At 37.5% G+C, this 20,301-nt stretch overlaps 1 protein-coding gene across 1 annotated transcript in view; it reads left to right on the forward strand.

Annotated features, from left to right (window-relative positions):
• The window catches only part of SLC14A2 (solute carrier family 14 member 2), a 515,726-nt gene that overhangs the window by 14,353 nt on the left and 481,072 nt on the right, over positions 1 to 20,301 (forward strand). The window contains exon 3 of the mRNA NM_001371319.1: positions 14,042 to 14,167. The gene's annotated coding sequence lies outside the window, so the exon portion shown is untranslated. The remainder of the gene's footprint in view (positions 1 to 14,041; positions 14,168 to 20,301) is intronic.

A 20,301-nucleotide genomic window follows, 5' to 3' on the forward strand; every position in this document is an offset into this window, starting at 1 on the left:
AGTAACACAATACTGTATAAAATGCTATAGTGATAAATTCAAAGAAATGGATCGTTTTCTTGAAAAAGACCTTTCAACATTGATTTAAAAGGAAAAAATAACTGAAAAAAATTGTTAAAGACTGTAACTGATTTGAAAAATGTGTTATTTCAAACTTTGAAAAGATAAATAATTCTCATGTTTTACCAGAGCATAGAAAAATATAAAAAGTAATTAGTAAAAAAATTGACTTTAAAACTCCTAAGGCCAACGAGAGTATTTTATAATACAGAAAAGATACATAGACATCAGAAGCTTTCCTATGTTTCACAAAGAAACAGAAACTATTATAAAAAACAAGTCCTTTTAAAAAATAAATACAAAAATATATAAAGCAACAACAAAAAATATATAAAGTAGAAGAGTATAAAATGTGCTATAGTTTCATTAAGAAAAATCACACAGTTGTCTGAAAAGCATGAAATATGACTTAATACATGAGAAATATGCTACATTTGTACATAGGAAAATTCATATAAATATGACAGTTCTTCTGATTGTAATTTATAGGTTAATTCAATCTGAAGTGATTCTAGAATTTATCTGGAAGAATAAAGGCTACAGATTGCCAAGAAATTTTTTTTAAATAAAAATCATGAGGGAATAATTAAAACAGTACCGTATTGGTGCTAGACTTGACAGATTGGTGACTAGAACAGTATAAATGGCCAAAAACAGAGACTGGTATAGATTAGAATTATGAACAGTTAGATTTGGAAATGTAGTTCCTGGGTCCATCTGTTCATAAGCCCAAGTGATGATGAGGGTACTGTTTGCGCTGGCTTCCCCCAGTGCATTCCCACTGAACCAGATTGAGAGGTCGTCTTTCAGTGCTTTAAACCCAGGCACACCCTTCAGCTTCTTGCTGATCCTCCTGCAATGGCTTATCCTTTAGGAAACCATGTCAGTTCCGTGAAGGCTGATAACACCTCTTGGGGTAGGCCGCTCCCTCCTTGAACATCTCTGTATGTGCTTGGAGACCCTCAGCAGTTAACCTCACCTTTTATCTTGCTGCACACTTTGATGTGCTGATTTGAATGAGCCTTGAAGTGGGATGGATCAGCAGCCTACTCGCACCATATAAAGCTTTTATTTTCTCAAACTCCTATCCTCTCAGAACATTTACCAAACAAGCCACTGATGTTGATCATGTTTCTTTAGCCCACATCCAAAATATTTCCCATTAGCTTTGTTAGTGTAGATTATTGTTTATTGCAGAGGAGTCTGACACTTTCCTAGGTTGCACAATTTGCTTTTGTCCATCTGAGCCTTTTCTTTCCTTTCTTTTCCTTTTCTTTCTTTTTCTTTTTTTCTGTCTTTCTTTCTTTCTCTCTTTCTCTCTGTCTCTCCTTCTCTCTTTCTTTTCTTTCTCTCTTTCTTTCTTTTCTTTCTTTCAAGACAGGGCCTTGCTCTGTGGCTCAGGCTGGATGGAGTGCAGTGGTGTGATCATAGCTCACTGCAGCATCCAACTCCTGGGCCAAGCTATCCACCTCTCAGCCTCCCAACAAGCTGGAACTGTAGGCAGCACCACCTCACCTGGCTAATTTTCTAATTTTTTTTTTTTTTTTTTTTTTTTTTTTGTGAGACATGGAGTCTCATATGTTGCCCAGGCTAGTCTCAAACTCCTGCCCTCAAGCAATCCTCCAATCTCGGGCTCCCAAAGTGCTGAGATTACAGGCATGAGCCACCATGCCCAGCCATCAGGGTCATTTCTGACTGTGGAACTATTCATTCTACACATGTGTGCAATATTTACAAGTTTCTGAGTGCTTGCAATCATTAGTAATGTTCTATTTTTTAAAACTGCTTAAAAATGATCTCTACTTTTGTTTCTGTCATTATCTTACTATAGTCACACTGCTATTGTGTTTATCTGATATAATAGGGTTAATGATGTTAGAAAACTCAAATTTAGCAATGAAAAAAGCAAATACATGTAGTAAGTTAACTAAAATTACCACAGGTGACCACTAATGCCACTCTTTGGTGGCAAATGCAGTCAAAATACTCTTGCTCTGAAACATAGCTTGATTCCTATTTAAGTTCATAAGCAGAGGAGATTCTACAACAATGTCATCACCAATCAGGAGAAATAAAAAATGAAGAAGTGGCTTGTGCAGACACAGTACTTAATTATTTAGAATGGGGATAAAGTTAGATCCTTGTCTCACACCAAGCCCACAAAATAATTCCACATGGATGAACCATGTTAATTTAAAACACTGAGATGCCAAGGAAGAAAAGGTAACTACTGACTTACTTAATCCTGCAATAGAAAACCACTTTTTAAGTATAAAAGTAAAGGAAAAAAATCACATATAATAACTGAAATATTAAACAAGGCATAAGTAGTAAACTTTCAGCTGCAATTAACAGATAATCTAACTTTATAATGGATTAAACAATAAAAAATAGTATTGTTTCACAACATCTGAATCCAGAAGTAGAGCAGGTTTCAAAGCATTGACTTCATCCAGTGGGCTCAGTTCCTTCTCTTTGTGATCACTTCAGCTTCACCTATGCCTGTGGGTTGGCTTTATCCCTCAACAAGTTCCTCTCATGTTGGGAAAATAAATACAGTAGGTTCAGGTTTCACATCTGCACAACTTCTTAGCTTGGATTTCCCAGAAGGAAGGACGTATGTGCTAGTATTTTATTGGAAAGTATAATTGATGGGAAGTAGGAGTGAGGAAAAGTGAGAATGGTGCATCAATGAGTGGAGAGCCAGTTCCCTAGCTGGCCTCTGCTTTGAACCAGGCAACATGGATTGTTTCACTGCATCTCACACTTGAACCACTTAGTGCTCCAGAAACATTTGTGTCTCAGAACAGTCCTTCCTAGGAAGGGAGAAAGAAGAATGTATTTGTCACTTGTCTCAAGGGTCAAAGGATTGTTCTGCATAGGGATATTTTTCTTGAACTTGGAGGTTGTGCACACATTGAATTGTTCATGGTCTCTCATGCTTCATATCCACAGGGAAGATCTAAAGCATGAGGCAAAAGGCATGCAGTGTGACCCTCTCAGATTGTGGCCACCTGAGGCTGGCCAGAGTCTACACAGACATGGTTACCTCCGAGGAGCCTGGTATAAGAACAAGCGACCTTTGCCCCAGAATCGGGAGGAATAGAAGGAAACATCCTCAGTCTGATGAAAGGCATCTACAATAAACATACAACAAATGTCATACTTAATGGTGAACCATAGAATGTTATCTCTCTAAAGTTAGGAAGAAGACAAGGATGTCTACCCTATCACTTCTATTCAACATTGTCCTAAAAGTTCTAGCCAGTGAAATATGGCAAGAAAGAAATTCATCAAATTTTGAAAGAAAAAAATAAAACTATCTTTACTTCCAGAAAATATAATTATTCATGTAAAAAAAAATCTAATGAAATATATGAAAAAGTTATGAGAACTAATAAGTGAATTTAACAAGGCATCAGGATTAACAATTAATATACAAAAATCAACTGCATTTCTATATACAAGCAACAATCATAAACTAAATTTTTTTAAATTCCACTTACAATAGCATCAAAATATATAAAACAGGCTTAAGTTTGATGAAAATAAGACCAATACAAAGAAAACCACAGAATATTGCTATGAGAAAATAAAGATCTAAATAAGTGGAGCAGTATGCATTGTTTATATATGTAGGTAGATTCAGTATTGTTAAGATGTCAATTATTTTCATATTAGTCTCTAAATTCAATATTCTCAATAGAGATGCCAGCAGTCTTTTTTGTTGTTGAAATTGGCAAAATGACTCTAAAATTCCTATGCAAATGCAAAGTACCTACAACCGAAAACAACTTTGAAAGACACAAATTTGGAGTAATAACATTATGTGATTTCAAAACTCATTATAAATCTGTAATAATAAAGACTATATAATACTGGTTTAAAGATAGACATCAGGTCAATAAGACAGGACAGAGGGCCACTTTTATATATGACCAACTGGTTTTGCACAAGGGTGCAAAAGCAAACTAAATGGGAAAGGATTGGCTTTTTTTCCATATATGGTACGAAACAACTGAATATTTGTAGGCAAAAAAATTAATATTTCACATCATCTACAAAAATTAACTCAGAGATTTAAATGTAAAACCTGAACTATAAAACTTATAGAAGAAAACGTAGGGGAAAACTCTAGAGACTTCCAGTTTTAACTCATGCACATAGACAGCCAGGAAGTCCTCATTTCCTTCCTTACAAGAATAGCTGGACAAACAGAATGTCAAGGATTTTTTTGGACCCATCAGAGGACTGCAGTTGCAGGACAAACTGCCACTCCCAGATCTGGAGAGACAGAAGCATCCAGAGAGTCATAGCTAAGATCTGCTTAACTGGAGTATACACCATTACAGTCATAAACTAGTAAGAATACTTACAAGGTGGTTGCAATGAATTGTTGAAGACTGGGTGTAACCTACTGTGAGAGGAAGAAACTCCCAGAGGCTGCCATCTTAGGGAGAGCCCCCAAATTTCTATGAACTTTCCATCCAGGGATTGTACCATGTTTTTATGGTGAAGATCCTCTCGTGGCTTTATCTGTCTCCTGCAGCTGAAACATCACATCACCCCAAGGCTCTCCTTCACGAGATTCCTTGATATGAATCACTTTCTCTGCCAGGATAATCCCCTGCAGTCACTGTGGGGAAGCCATTAGATGGTTTTCAGAAATTACTGTTGCCCACCGCAGCAAAGCCTGGGTGCTTTTAAAAAGCATGAATTACTCAAAAAGTTAAATCACCACCCAGGAATATTCTGCATTTCCTTTTATCTTAGAATGTTTAGTATACTTTGGTGACTATGGCAGAAACACAAAAAGCCTAAGCAATGACCTGTATGGATCAATCAGGGAGAACCACAGGAGATTTGGGTGAGTTCTGTGGTTGACTGGGTAGACAGACAACCTCAAAAGTTTAGATGGAGGCTTCACATTGCCAGGGACCATGTATGCAGCCCAATTTTAAAGACAGCTTTTGAGATTGAGGTGGAAAGAATGCCAAACTGAATAAAGCAAAGTGTCTGCCACCAACTCCAACAGAATAGGACTCCCAATTAGAATTAAATTGTGGAACAATAAAGGTTTTAATCTGGGGGTACTAAAATTGCAAACTATGATATATCCCCTAGGATACTCCTTTTAGGATGTATAACTATCATTGTTTACTAGAGGCTGAGAAGGAGATAATCTTGGCATCATGGTATTGAGAGACGCTTTGATCATCTAGCACTTTTATGGCATTAACGTGTGGTTGCCAAGAGCCCCCAAGAAGGTGAAGCCACCTTATGCCCGTCCAGAAAATTATCTATGACTTGGGGCAAAGGTGTAACTTCCAGATCACTTCTTCTCTATGTTCTGCTAATTACTCCCTTCCCTGATTTCTGCTTCTGGTAAAAAAATAAATAAATAAATTAGTTGTTTGATAATAAGAGAATTCTGTTTTGGGAGAATATTGTGGAAAATGTTTATCTTTGTGAAAATGTATCTTTTGAGGTGAGATTGAGTCATCTTATGCCAGTGGGTGTTACAAATTCAGAAAAGTTTCTTAAACAGTCCATGAAATAGTAGGTTCCATTTTTTTTCTACATTATATTGGGACTTCAGGACTTTTGTAGCTACTTAGGAAGTGTCCTGTCAGTGCTAATAGAGGGTGTTACCTAATATATCCCGGGTCATCAAATTTCCCGGTTGGGAGGGTGTAATTTAAAGAGTGTGAGAAACTAAACAATTGAGTATGTCTATAATCCAGGGGCCCTTATAAATCAGACATAGATATTTGAATTCAAGATGGTAGAGGATGAAGAGTTAGTGTTGGTAAACCAAAAATATAGTTTGAAGGAAGTATAAGAGAGGTTAAACTTTGTGGGCAACTGAAAGTAGTGCTATGTCTTGCCCCGTTACCTATCTTCTATTCTACTGATGCTCTCAGGTAAGAATTTATAGAATCTTTGGACACCTCCTCAGTGATGATCATCACTAATTCATCCTGGCCATTGATCCTGATCTTGTTGATATCCTGTGTCTTGTAAGTAGGTTACCATCTTTTCTTTTATGTATAATTCCCTGTTTTGATAACCTACCTGCAAGACAAGGGTGGTCTAGGACTGTAATCAAGCATGCTCCTAGAATTCCCTACCCTTATCTCTGTATTCCAGCTATTTGTCTTCACAGGCTCTAGGTGCTGCTTAACAACATTAGCATTGCCCATCACAGGACCTCCAGGATCCCAGGTTTCAACTCCCTGCCTGAATGTCTTTTCTTTCACCTTCTCCCAGATTTTCCTGCTCCTGAGAACTGTAAGTCAAGTTCTGCAGTGAGGGTTTGCCTTGTCCCTCCCAGACTTGGAACTTTCTTTCCTTGCCCAATCAATTCTGCCTTAGATGGAGTATGAAGGCAGCCAGACCTAGGAAATTCCCAACATATAGAGATTAAGTATGAGACAAAAGTCAAAAGTTATTTGGACAATTGAGAGTTCAGGACACCCTGTGGTGTCAGAAGGCAATAAAAGGCAAGGTTGGAAATAAAGTATGAGCTATCTGACAACATGCCCAGAACATCTGAAAGTGGGAATACCTCTGCTTGCAGGCCTCCTGTTGAATGATTCTACGAATATTTTTTGAGCTCTGTTACATGCAATGCAGTGTGCTAGTTTGTTACATGCCTTTTCCCAGGTTTGGGTTTTGTGACTGTTTTCTGGGCAAAAGCCAACCTATAATCCTGATGTAGAAACAACTGATTTATGTAAAAAGCTAGTAAGTGGCAAACTGGATGTGATGTGTGATGAAAGATACTGACAAATATTATAGGGGACTGGAAGTATGCTCAAAGATTACATGCTTGAGCTTTGTAGTCAGAAGACTTGAGTTCAAATCCAGACTCAATAATTATGACTTCTGCAACCCTGAGAGCAAAATTTTCTTGGGGTCATGTTATTTCAGTTAAATGGGGGTAACAATACAATCTGCTTTATAATGTTCTTATGAGGGTTGAATGGGATAAGGCACAAAAGCACTTGGAAGTGTCCCTGGCTTGTTACAATACACCAATAAGTGTTGTCTTTCTTGTTGATAGAAAATAAATCTGGCAGCCAAATGTAAGAGGATATAGCCTATGGAGAAACTGTCATCAATAGATAAAATGTAGATATTGTAAAAGTATGAAAAAGTAGAGTAGAATGATTGAGACGCTGGGTCTTGTACTTGGACTTCAGTTGTCTCACTAGCTGTGTGATATTGGCAAAATTATTTAACCTCTCAGAGCCTGACTTTGTACATCCATTAGGCATGATAATCGTGTATGTTTCACGTAACTGTTAAGACAAAGCATGCCAAATGCTTAAAGCAGTGCCTTAGTGGCATAGTAAGTGCTCAGTGACAGATGATGAAACCAGTCATCCATGTGGGGGGAGTTTAGGACCTTTGCTTGGGTGATAATGGATGCAAAATCACAAACTGACAAAGAAATAAAGAGCCAGGAGTATGTGTGTCAGTAGGCAGGCAGTCCCATCCCTAGGGCAGTCCCATCCTAGTTTACATTTAGATGAGGCCCAGCTCTCAGAGTTCCCTGGGAAATGTCACCTCTTGGCCCCAGAAGATTCCCCAAAGCACAAAAGCTGAGATGATGGTCCTGGTTTTCCACAAGATACAGCTGATACCTGGGTCCTGAACAGGACACAGGTCTGTAAGCAACATTTGAACATAGGGGAAGGCTTTGCAGGTGAGATAAGAATAATTTGTAATTAGCACATTCTCTGTTTAGCAGAATTATTTGCATACAAAGTGATTTTTATAATTACTTGGGAACCGTTTGTTGACCTTTCTTCTTTAGTAGGCTAAATATTTTCCTGTTGATATAATAATTATCTCTACAATCTCTTCCTTTAGATCTTGCTTGGAGAAGCAGCATATTAAACTACAAAAGTTCTCAAAATCCTTTTCTGGGGATAGACAAATAAATGAGTATTGGCACTTTGTGTTTAAACTGACAGATCTCAAAGGAGGACACATTTACAAATCCTGCTTTAGATTCCTGGAGTAGATGTTAAAAACACAGTTTCCCTCCTCTCATCCTAGGCTGAATGAAATAGAGCCTCTGGGTGGGTCTAATAGTCTGCATTTTTAACAGATGTCCTAGATGATGAGTGTGAGCAGTTGGGTTTGAGGATTAGCATTTCAGGTCACTCCAAGTGGAATTTCTGCCCCTGAATCAAAAACCAAATTGGTCAACTGGTTCACTTCCTGGTTTGTAATAGAGATGGGCCGTGGCAGTGATTCAGTTCAGTGAGAACCAGACACATTTCTACCAATCCCATGACACGAAGTCTACCCCGCCAGTTTAGTTTGTATAAAGCATCCACTAAGAGTCAGGCACTTTTGTCCAAAGGGATATCATTTAATTGATCAACCAAAAATGAAGGTATAATTATTATCCGCATATTACAGGTGAGAAAACTAGCACTCAGAGGTGGGCAATAATTTGCCCAAGGCCTCACAGCTAAGAACTGCAGGGCCAGGATTATAAACTAGGTCAATTTTCTGCTACTCCATGAGGCCTTTTTTAGAAGGAAAATGCATCATGTTTCCCTTGTTCCAGGTAGGGCATTTTGGCTGTCAGTGACATGTTACAGAGGGAGAAAATATGCTTCTTGAGCTGAAGTACCTATAGCTCAATGGGGAGACAGGAGGACAGCTCCCATGGTGTCCCAGCTGGCATCCAGCTCCATGCCCTCCCAGCTTTCCTCCTCTTGGTTCATCTCTTCCCCAAGCCACATTCTATACTAGATTCTGACCCCAGTCCTCTCCCCCAATAGACTAAGCTCCTTGAAGGCAGAGGCTGTGCCCTGTTGAGGTCATGTTCATCCCAATTCCCCTCTGTTAGCCCAGCAATGCTGCCAGATCCACAGTCTCATTCACACGTTATATGCAGTGGATTGTGTAAGAAAATAAATAAAATGGAAGCATATGAATTAAGGAGTCCCAGATATGTCTGAATCAGAGAGACATGATTCAACATATGTCCTGAACTGTCAGTTCTTCCTGGGGTTCCAGAAGAATAGGAATGCCCAAGGTAGAAATCAAACAAATGTATACATCCATATAACAATTGTTTCAGAATACCTTCAATTATGGAACAATTTCTAAGTCATGTCCCAAAGGAAATGACATTTTAAGTGTTCAATTAAATGACATATCTTGGTTCTCAAGTCCAGTTCGGGCTGTTTCTTGGGGACTTCAGCCAGGGTCCTCTTTTGTCTCCACAAACTAGGTCCCCTGGGGGGGAAATTCTAGGGCTTTCTCCAAATAAACCTGCCCTTTCATCTCAACACTGAGACCCTGGGAGCTTGTCCTCACTTTGTGGCATGAGACCTAGGGGTGTCAAGCAGACACCCCTGGGTGTCCACCCACCCACTGGGTAATTTATGTAGTAATTGGGAGAAACCAGGTAGAAACAAGAGGAAAAAAATCATGAGTAGATCTGGAAACCATATCTTGCCTCTGCAGAAACTGGGAATGTTTATTCTGGACAAGGGGTGTCCTAAGAGGAGTTAGGACAGCTGCCTTGGTATATTTGATGAACTGTTAGGAGGAAGAAGGAATAGCCCCCAAAGAGGAATTACAATCTGTGTGTGTAAATAAAACTTGTCTATTGAGGAATCCCAACTCATGAGAATATCCATATGCTATGGCTTTTTATTTTTCTTGTCTCAGCTTTCAACTGTGCTTCATTGAACCCCTCTTCCCTGCAGAGTAGCAACAGACATCTTGTCCGGATTCTAAAATAGTGAAATTTACTCTCTCTAGCACAGTTTTGTCCCTTTTCATTTTCTTTTTAGTGTACTTGGAGGTGTGGTATCAGGCATATATTCAAAATATTATTTTTCAGTTTTATGGAAGCCTAATTGACATATTACAAACCACCTATACTTAAAGAATACAATTTGATATGTTTTGACATATGTATATATGGTTGTTACCACTTCTTGGCTATTACCAATAAAGCTGCTGTGAGCATCCATGTGCAAATCCTTGTGTAAATATATGTTTTTATTTGCCTTGAGTAATAAGGATTGGAGTACCTAGGATTAGAATGGTAGGTGTTGTTTAAGGTTTTAAGAAATGCTACATGGTTTCAAAAGTGCTTGTATCATTTTATATCCCCACAGCAGTGTTTCGTTTCCTTCACATGCTTGCCAATACTTGGTATGGTAAGTCTTTTTAACCATTCTAACAGGCAGGTAGTGGTTTTGTGTGTGTGTGTGTGTGTGTGGTTTTTTTTTGTTTTGTTTTGTTTTGTTTTGTTTTTTTGAGATGGAGTCTCACTCTGTTGCCCAGGCTAGAATGCAGTGGTATAGTCTTGGCTCACTGCAACCTCCGCCTCCCAGGTTCAAGCAATTCTCCTGCCTCAGCCTCCCGAGTAGCTGGGACTATAGGCATGTGCCACCAGGCCCAGCTAATTTTTTGTATTTTTAGTAGAGACGGGGTTTCACTGTGTTAGCCAGGATGGTCTAGATCTCCTGACCTCGTTATCCATCACCCTGACCTCCCAAAGTGCTGGGATTATAGGCATGAACCACCGGGCCTGGCCAGCAGGTAGTGGTATCTTATTATGGCTTTTATTTTCCTTTCCCTAATGATTATCTTGTCATATACTTATTTTAAACCTTTTGTCTTCTTTGGTAAAATGTCTGTTTATATCTTTTGCTTATATTTGTATTGAGTTGATTATTTTATTATGTTTTGAGAATTCTTTATATATTCTGAATACAATCCTTTAGCAGACACATATTTGCCAATATTTTCTCCCAATCTGTAACTTGTCTTTTCATTCTCTTAAGAGTCTCTTTCAAAGAGCAACATCTGTAATTATTATGAAATCCAGTTTATTAAATTTTTCTTTTATGGATGGTGCTTTTGATGTTATACCTAAGAAATTATTGCCTAAGCTAGGGACATAAAGTTTTTCGTCTGTTTTCTTCTAGAAGTTTTATTGTTTTAAGGTTTACATTTATAATTCTTTTTGCTTTGCATATAGGGCAAATAATCAAGTTCACTTTTGTTTTTGTATGTGTTTATCTAATTATTCCAGCACCTTTTCTAGGAAATATCATCTTTCCACACTGAATTTTGTACCTTTGCAGAAAATAAGTTGGTCATATGTGTAGCAATCTATTTCTGGACTCTCCATTCTGTTCATTGATATATTTGTCTATCTTTCTGTGACTAGCACACTGTTTTAATTACTGTAGCTTTATAATATACCTTGAAATCAGGTAGTGTTAGCCATCTACCTTTATTCTTCTTTTTCAAAGTCGTTTTGGTTCTTCTAGTTTCTTTGTATTTCCAGACAAATTTTAGCACCAGTTTTTCAATTTCTACAAAAATTTCTAGTGGGATTTTGATTAGAATTATATTGATTCTAGAGAGTAATCTGAGGAGAATAACATTTTGAGAATATTGAGTTTTCTATTCCATGACTACAGTATCTCTGTCCATTTCTTTAGGCCTTCTTCAATTTCTCTCAGTACCATTTTGTGTTTTTCAATGTATAAATCTTGCCCATATTTTCTCTGATTTTCCCCAAATATTGCATATTTTTGATGTTATAAATGGCATTTCCTAAGTTCCAATTTACAATTATTATTTGGTAATAGATAGAAATGCAATTGATTTCTGTATATTGATTTTGTATTCTGCAAGCTTGATCAACTCCCTCATAGTCAACTTTTTTGTAGATTCCATTGGATTTTCTCCAGAAATGATCATATCATCAGTGAATAAAGATATTTTCCATTATTTCTTTCCTATATGAATGCCTTTATTTCCTTTCTTGCTATATTACACTAACTAGAATCTCCAGTATAATGCTGACTAGAAGTGATGAAAGCAAAAACCTTGCCTTGTTCCTGATCCTAGGGAGAAAGCCTTTAAATCTTTTACCAGTAGTTAAGGTTAGTTGTCGACTTTTTTGTAGGGTCGCCATCAGGTTCAGAAAGTCCTCTTCTATTCCTAATTTATGACAGTTATCGGAAATAGATGTTAGATTTTGTCAAATTCTATGGAAATGATCATGTGGTTTATTTTTGCTCATTCGTTTAGATTTTAGTTTTTCTTTATAAGGTAAATTACATTTATTTTCCAGTGTTAATTTAAGCTTGCATGCTCAGGGTAAACTCCATTTGGTCATGAAATAGTCTCCTTTATATGTATCGTGAGATCTAATTTGGCAAATTTGTCTTATTGTCTTTGCATCTCTATGAGGGATATTGGTCTGTAATTTTTTTTTTTTTTTTTTTTGAGACGGTGTCTCACACTGTTGCCCAGGCTGGAGTGCAGTGGTGCGATCTCGGCTCACTGAAAACTTCACCTCCTGGGTTCACGCCATTCTTCTGCCTCAGCCTCCCGAGTAGCTGGGACTACAGGCACCTGCCATCATGCCGGCTAATTTTTTGTATTTTTAGTAGAGATGGGGTTTCACCGTGTTAGCCAGGACGGTCTCAATCTCCCGACCTCGTGATCTGCCTGCCTCAGCCTCCCAAAGTGCTGGGATTCTTTTCTTTTAATATCAACCTTGTAGACTTTCCCAAATCTTTTTGAATAATACTCTTGGAGATCTCCCTTACCTGGCTTCAGGCGTGAATGGGCAGAGAAAGAAGAAACTTCTTTCACCGCACTTCCATAAAGGCAAACGTCTCAGTTTTTCTTGCAGTCCTCTCCTTACTGAAACTATTGACTCTGGCCTCTTCCTATTTAGATCTGGAGAAAGAGAGGAGCCTGTAGCATAATGAGGGACGAAGTATCTGTGTCCTCTCAGAAAGCCCTGAAGGGAGTGTCTGGCCACAGTGTTTCATAAGGAGTGTAGACTTTGGCCTTAGCCACAATCCAGGACGACAAAAGATGCTCCAAAAAACATCTGGGTACAGAAGTTACAGAGAAACAGTTCCTTATCAAATGTGCTAAAGAATTTCTTACCAGTTAGAAGATTGCTAAAAAGGTTGAAGCAGATACCAAATGATTGGGGAATAAGAATTTTTTTTTTCTTTGAGACTAAGTCTTGCTCTGTTGCCCAGGCTGGAGTGCAGTGGTGCGATCTTGGCTCACCACAACCTCCACCTCCCAGGTTCAAGCGATTCTTCTGCCTCAGCCTCCAGAGTAGCTGGGACTACAGGCACATGCTACCATGCCCAGCTAATTTTTGTATTTTTAGTAGAGATGGGGTTTCTTTATGTTGGCCAGGCTGGTCTTGAACTCCTGACCTCGTGAACTGCCCGCCTTGGCCTCCCATAGTGCTGGGATTGCAGGTGTGAGCCACTGCGCCTGGCTGGGAGCAAGAAATTCTTATCTGGCATGCGGGGAAAGTAACTTCTATATCAGAGTCGTGAATTCAAAGTAGCTTCTCATATTCAACATCTCTTAAAATATAATAGAATAGCGTAGGATTGGATAGGATAGGATGAGATGGGATAGGATAGGGCAGGACAGGATCTAGTAATATAATATTTTTAAAAGAAAAATATGAGACAAATCAAACAGAGTTTAATTGAGCAAAGAAAAATTCGTGAATCGGGCAGCCTCCCAAGCCAGAGTAGGCTCAGGGATACTCCAGCACAGCCACGTGGTGGAAGAAGATTTATGGACAGAAAAAGGAGACTGACATACAGAAGATGGAAGTGAAGTACAGAAACAGCCAGATTGGTTACAGTTCGGCTTTTGCCTTATTTGGACACTGTTTGAACAATTGGCCCCCTTTCATTGTCCAAAACTCAATGATTGGCACAAAGATAGTTTACAGTTTGTTTACACTTCCACTTAGGTTATAATTCAGTATGTACACAGAAATATTTACACTGAAGTTCAAAGAGGTAAGGGGGCAGTTTTATGCTAAAGTTGATTTAACAATATCAAGTGCACCACATTAGTTACGAGTTTGCTGAGACTTTTTTTCATTCTCATTCTCTTTCTCTCTCATTCAATCGCATGTATGTACTAGGTCACAATGTAAAAGGTGTTTCTTATTGTGGATCACAGCTGAAGAATTTTGAAGCTGCTCAGCTAAAGGACTTTCCCTCTGCGAAGCTGTGATTCTCTGAAGTGGCCAAAGAAATTATGCAGTAAGGTAAGGTTTACAGCTGTTGCTGAGGTTCTTTCTCTAAGTCAAAATCTGCTTTGAGCTTGCCAACCTCAAGGTGATATTGAGGAATATTTCTTAAAACAGACAGCTGCCTTTGTAGGAGAGTGGGGAAGCATGATTATAGACCATCTGAAGGTGCTCTGTGCCCCAACTCAACCCACCAACTGTGACTTTGAAGGAAGCCCAAGCCAGAAGAGTGAATTTTGTGTCTTCCCTCAACAGCAATCAATCAATACAGAGTTAATTCTCTAGTGCCTTGCAGGTTGTCAGCAAACTTCTCAAACTGTGTTTCATACCTGGAGCTAGGGGCTGTTCTCAAAGGGCTTTTCCATTTACTTGGCGAATAGAACTAATATCCTTGAAATAACTCACAGACCAAGACAACATATAAACAAGAGCTAAGCTGCATGCAGCATACTGTAACTACAAAAGGAGTTTAGCAGCACAGAAAACGAATTAGCCAATGGGGAAGACATCTCTAAGGTAGACTTGGACTAATGTTGGGATCACTACGAAGGATGTGCTGGCTTCAGAAATCCGGAGGAAAAAGGTAGCGGCTCTTCAGTGTCAAAAGACATTAGACATAGATTTGGATGTGCCACACACATTTATCTTCCATCATGTCCACACTCCAGAAAAAAACAGCCTATTGTGCATTCCAACTAAGTCTCTTAAGCTGGGAGTTAGTCTAGGACCATGAAGAGAGAATTTTCTTTGTATCTAAATACATAATTATATTTTAGATTACTGGTTACCTTTCTCATTCACCTGTTCTATCTCAAAAACCTGTGGTATGCAACATTAACTTGGCTCTATAGAGAGCTGCATGATACATAAAAGACCTTCTATGTTCAGATTTTGTCCAACTGATGAGGAAAAAGTGTGACCCAGTAAGAGAAGTGAGAGCCTATCAGTATCAGTCAATAATATTCAAGCTATCCAGCTCTATAAACAAGGAAGATATTCGGGGTCAAAAACAGGTGAAGGTGAAGAGCAGTATAGTCAGAGAAGACATCCTGGAAGAAGTTGAATTTGTGTTTGTGACAGTCTTGTGGGTTCTATCCCACCAACCCTTCTCAGCAGTGACTCAGCAAATTGATTTCAGAGGCAGCCTCTGGGAACTTACATCCCACTGATGGGTTTATAATGAAAATGCTGACGCACTCCTAAGTCAAACCAGGACTCTTGAGCAGCACTACAGAATTGAGTGCGTCATTTCCCCCTGAACAATGCGTCTCATTCATTGCTTGAAGTGTGACCATTCATGTTGAAAATGAAATTCCGCAGTGATCTGTTTGGGGAAATTATTCAGAGCTACTCACTTAAAGATCTTGCTATCTTTTGTGGTTCTCAATTAAGGCTCACAAGAACCTCTCCAGGGTAAATTGGTGCCAATCTAGGCATTGAGAGTAGAAGGAAAAATGAAAATCTAAAGCTCGTAGGAACTTTCAAAAGTCATTTCTAAAGGCCCCTAGGGAGTAGATAACATACAGACCAAGTTATCCTGAATATAAGTTATACTGATTATAACCAGAATATCTAGAATATTGGTATAATAAGAGAAAAAACATGGATGTGAAATTAGGAAGCATTGGTCTTAGCCCTGGTTCTGCCTATAGCTACCTGGGTGCTTTGGAGTTAATGAATTATTAGACATAGAATGATAATCCTGTCCAAATATATTTTGTTAAAAATAGAAAAACATAAGGTATGCAAGGAAAAGTTTAATAATACCTGGGCTTCTTTCACCCCTAATTAATAATCATGAATATTTTGCTATATTGTCTCTTTTTTAATACACAAATCATGAACACATAGATAAAGTTTACCTGGACCCCTCACCCAATACTCAACCACTATCATGAGTTTGATGAGTTTGATTCTTTCAGTCTATTTAAAACATTGCATCTAGTTGGTCACATTTATGATGTGTTCCTATTATAATTATTAAGGATTTTAAAATTTTGCATAATAGGCATCGATGCTATATACAAAGTCTTATTCTGTAGCTTGCTTCCCCCATGTACATTTGGATTTATTTCTACCATGTTATTTTGTGTTCTCTATATACTTTTGCTTTACTTCTCTATTTCCCTCATTAACAGTCTCTTTTGAATTGATACAGTATAATTTCCTCTCTTTGCTCTTTTCTCTCTTACACAGCTTTGTAAGTTAGGCATTTTATTTCTATTGTTTTAGTGGTTGCCCTCAAATTTTTAACATATCTGTGCTGTTACTAATTTTTTTAACAAAATGCACCAAGGAAGACCTTAGTATACCTCATATCCCTTAGATCTCCTCACTCTAATTTTCTTGCTACTGTTGTCTGGAATTGTAATTCCAACATGTTTTAAAGATAAAGAGAAGCATATTTTCTCAATTATTTACAGTAAACACCTATGTATTTTTATCATCACAATACCTAGTTTCTTTGTGCACCAATTTTCTTGATTCCCACTTCTTCTGGATTTAATTTTTTCTGATGAATTATACCCTACAGTAGTTTTTGCAGTGAGAATCTGATAGTATTAAACTTAGTCCTTAAATGTCTGAAGATGTCTTACCATTTTACAATTACTCTTGAAGGCATAAAATTATACATTCACAATTATTTTCACATAACACTTTCACCAGGTTCTTTTATTAGTGAAAAATAAGCTGCCAACCAGATTGATGGATTTTATGGTGTCTTCATTGCAATGTCCATATGTGGGTTTATTTTTATTCCTTCTGCTGTGTGTACACATTAGGCTTTTCTAATCTGAAGGCTCCTGTGTCTTTAATTTTAGAAAATTTTAGTTATTACCTAACTCTTTTAGACCCTCTTCCCAATTATTTGTATTTTTTTCTTCTAAAATTCTTATCAGACAGATATTGTTGCTTCTCAGCCTCCAAGTCTGTTAATTTCTCTGTCATTTTTTTTAAATCATGTTTTCTGTCTTCATCCTGGAAAATTTGTTCAGTTCTTTTTTCATTTTACAATTTCATTAATTGTGTCAGCCTAGTATTTAACTCATTGTTGAGTTTCTCACTTCCATCTATAATTTCTTTGAGGATTTCACAGATACTCATTTTAAAACTTATTTTCAGATTTTCCCATTATTTCTATTTCCTTGAATAGGAACCTCTCATTTCTTTGGTTTCACTCTTCTCTTAGGAAGTTTTCTCTTGTGCTCCTTCCTGTAAAGCCATTTGATGTCACCTCAAACCTCTTGGTTGTATGGGTTGTCTGGATTCATAGGACTCCTTATATTAGCAGCTAAGCTGAAGTCTTCCTTTCATAAAAAGGTGGCAATTCCATTCTCAATGCTCATACCTTCAATAGCCTGGGAACCACGATCATGTGAGAATCTTGACTTTGGCAGTAGGTTTTGGAAAAACCATGTTCCTAGAAGCCACCTTGGGCAGGCAAGAGGGGATGTTCCAATCTCTGTGAAGTGCAGTCTGTGTCCGATCAGGAGTCCACATATCCCCATTAAAGAACCCTAGCTGGACCATACATATGGAGCTAGTCTCAACTCCCTGGTGGCCATGGGGCTTTAACCTCTGCCTATATCTATAGGTTTTCTTTCTTTGGGGATCCTTGAATTTTTTTCTTAATACTTCGTGCAGTTTTTTATTTTAAAATATAAATAAATGTATTACATTCTTTGTGTTTGGAGTTGGGGGAAAGATTATACATGAACTTTTCTCTGCTGTGGAAGTACCCTTCGTTTTTCAGACAGGAAAACTAAACCCAAGAAAATGGAATAAGCTTGCCTAAGCCACAACCTAATTGTGGTCAATATGTAGATTAGGAAACACTTCTCTGCCTTAAATACATTCAACATGAGTCTCTTTGCCCCAGGATTTTGATGTTCAAAATGGAGAAACTAATGCCTTCCTTACCTTTATCAATACATTAGTGCAGTAATTTGAAATGGCAAATAAATGTGAAAGTATTTTGAAATAAAGTTTAGTCTCTTATGAGCATCACCATTTTAAAGTTCTGCTGTGTGTATAAGTAATGTCAATATTTTCATTGCTGAGAAATTATTTCTGATTTTTCTACCATAGAATTTGTTTTTTTCATATGCCATTTCTACCCTCAAAGTCATTTTTAGTATTAAAGAACCCTTGGGTAGAAAGTTACTTTGGGTAAACTCACAGAGACTAAGGAACAAATTTTAGTTTTTCACATTCAATAAACACCTGTTGAATGCCATTGTTTTCATGCACTTAGGCTTTGCCTGGGATGCAATATGTAGATTTCTTTTTTTAAAAAGAAACTTTTAAAGAATAGTTTTATACTTATAGAAATATTGCAAAGTTAGACCTCCAAAATACCCAATGCCTGCTTGCCTCTATTAACAACTTTTATCAGTATGGTATATTTATTATAATCAATAAACAAATCTTGATTCATTATTATACTTTTATTAGTGTTTACCTCTTCTCTTCTAGGATCCTATCCAGGGTACCACATTACATTTAGTCATTATGTCTCTTTAGGCTTCTCTTGGCTATGACAGTTTCTCAGACTTTCCATTTTTTGATGACCATGACCGTAACAGTTTTTAGGATTATGGGTGAGGTATTCTGTAAATTTGTCTCATGTTTTAATTCTGAGTAGAGTGGTGTTATGGTTTTTTAAAGGAAGACCACAGAGAAAAAGTGCTATTCTCATCATTTCCTATCAAGGATACAAAAAGGTGATATCATTTGTGATGTCTGAGGTAGTGTTAGTCAGGAAATCTCCCCTTTCCCCTGAGCATGCTGTATGCACTCTTTGGAAAGTAGTCATTTTAGCCAGCCCACTTAAAGAGTGGGGAGTTATGTTCTATCTTCTTGAGGGCTGAGTATCCACATCAATTATTTGGAATTGTTCTGAATGGGAGATTTGACTATTCTACCCATTTATCTATTTAATAACTCATTTATATCGGTATGGACTCATGGATATTTATTTTACTTCACTTCTTTATTTTTCAAGTTGTTTCAACTTTGGTCATTGGAAGCTCTTGGCTCTTGTGTTCCTTTGACATATCTAACACCTCCATGTATGTATGTGTGTAGTGTGTGTGTGTGTGTGTGTGTGTGATTAAATACTTCTTGCTTTCTGGGATTGAAAGGTTCTCTATGCTCATTTTGTATATTTCCTGTTTCAGCCTTAGAATCAGCCATTTCTCCAAGGAGTCTTTGTTTGTTTTAGTGAGTAGATTATTGACTAAAAGGAAATATGGCATTGAATCTAACATGACTGGACATTATTTTCTTTACTCACTCTCACTTATGAAAGATTTGGTACTTTTTCTCCTGTCAGTTTCACAGGAATAGGGTGAATGACCTTATAAAATCATTAGATTTATTTGAAAGGGGAGACTTTCAAAATGAAGAAATGTAACTCCTGAAGAAAATTAAGAAATTCAGCTGAGATAACACAGAATTTCACCCTTAATTGGCAATTCAGACCACCCATCTCTTCTAAGAATGGGTCTAATAATGAATTATCAAGTGAACATTTCTTAAATGCAAGAGCAAATTAACTTGGAGATATACTAAATTTCAAGAAACAAAATTATTTTTCTTTAATCAGAACTAAGGGCAATACTTCAGCAGGTATTAATAAGCTATTGTTGCTGGTTTAAACAAAGAAACTTAAATGTTTATTGTTGCAACCTATCTTTTATGTGTGCCCAGACTCCAAAGTCTGGTTTTATTTGTAAGGTTCCCCAACAGAGTGGTTGCTATAGATATAGCAAAAGCCCAAAGGACAGCATGCTGAGCCTTTGGAAAAACAGTTTCATTTCCAAAGGCAAGGAATAGATATTGAGGCTTAAAGGGAGTTGATCCTTAGGATAAAGTCATAGCTAATGTAAGGTTTTCAGAATAAAATCTAAGATTTCAGAGAAATCTAGGGACCAATTATGTGATGTTCAAAGGAAACAGTGAATACAAGTGAGTCTGAGTTTTTACCCAATGTTTGAGGCAAATATATGCAAGTCGTTCTGCTCAATGTTATCAAACATAACATTGGGGAGTAAAATATTATTTTTGTTTCGTTTTGTGATAATCATAGCAAAGAGGAGGAGAATGAAATGAGGATGATTAAGTCTGGGGTTCTAGTCTTCTAGTTTTAA

The sequence above is a fragment of the Homo sapiens genome, chromosome 18 (assembly GCF_000001405.40).
Source record: "Homo sapiens chromosome 18, GRCh38.p14 Primary Assembly".
Classification (NCBI taxonomy): domain Eukaryota; kingdom Metazoa; phylum Chordata; class Mammalia; order Primates; family Hominidae; genus Homo; species Homo sapiens.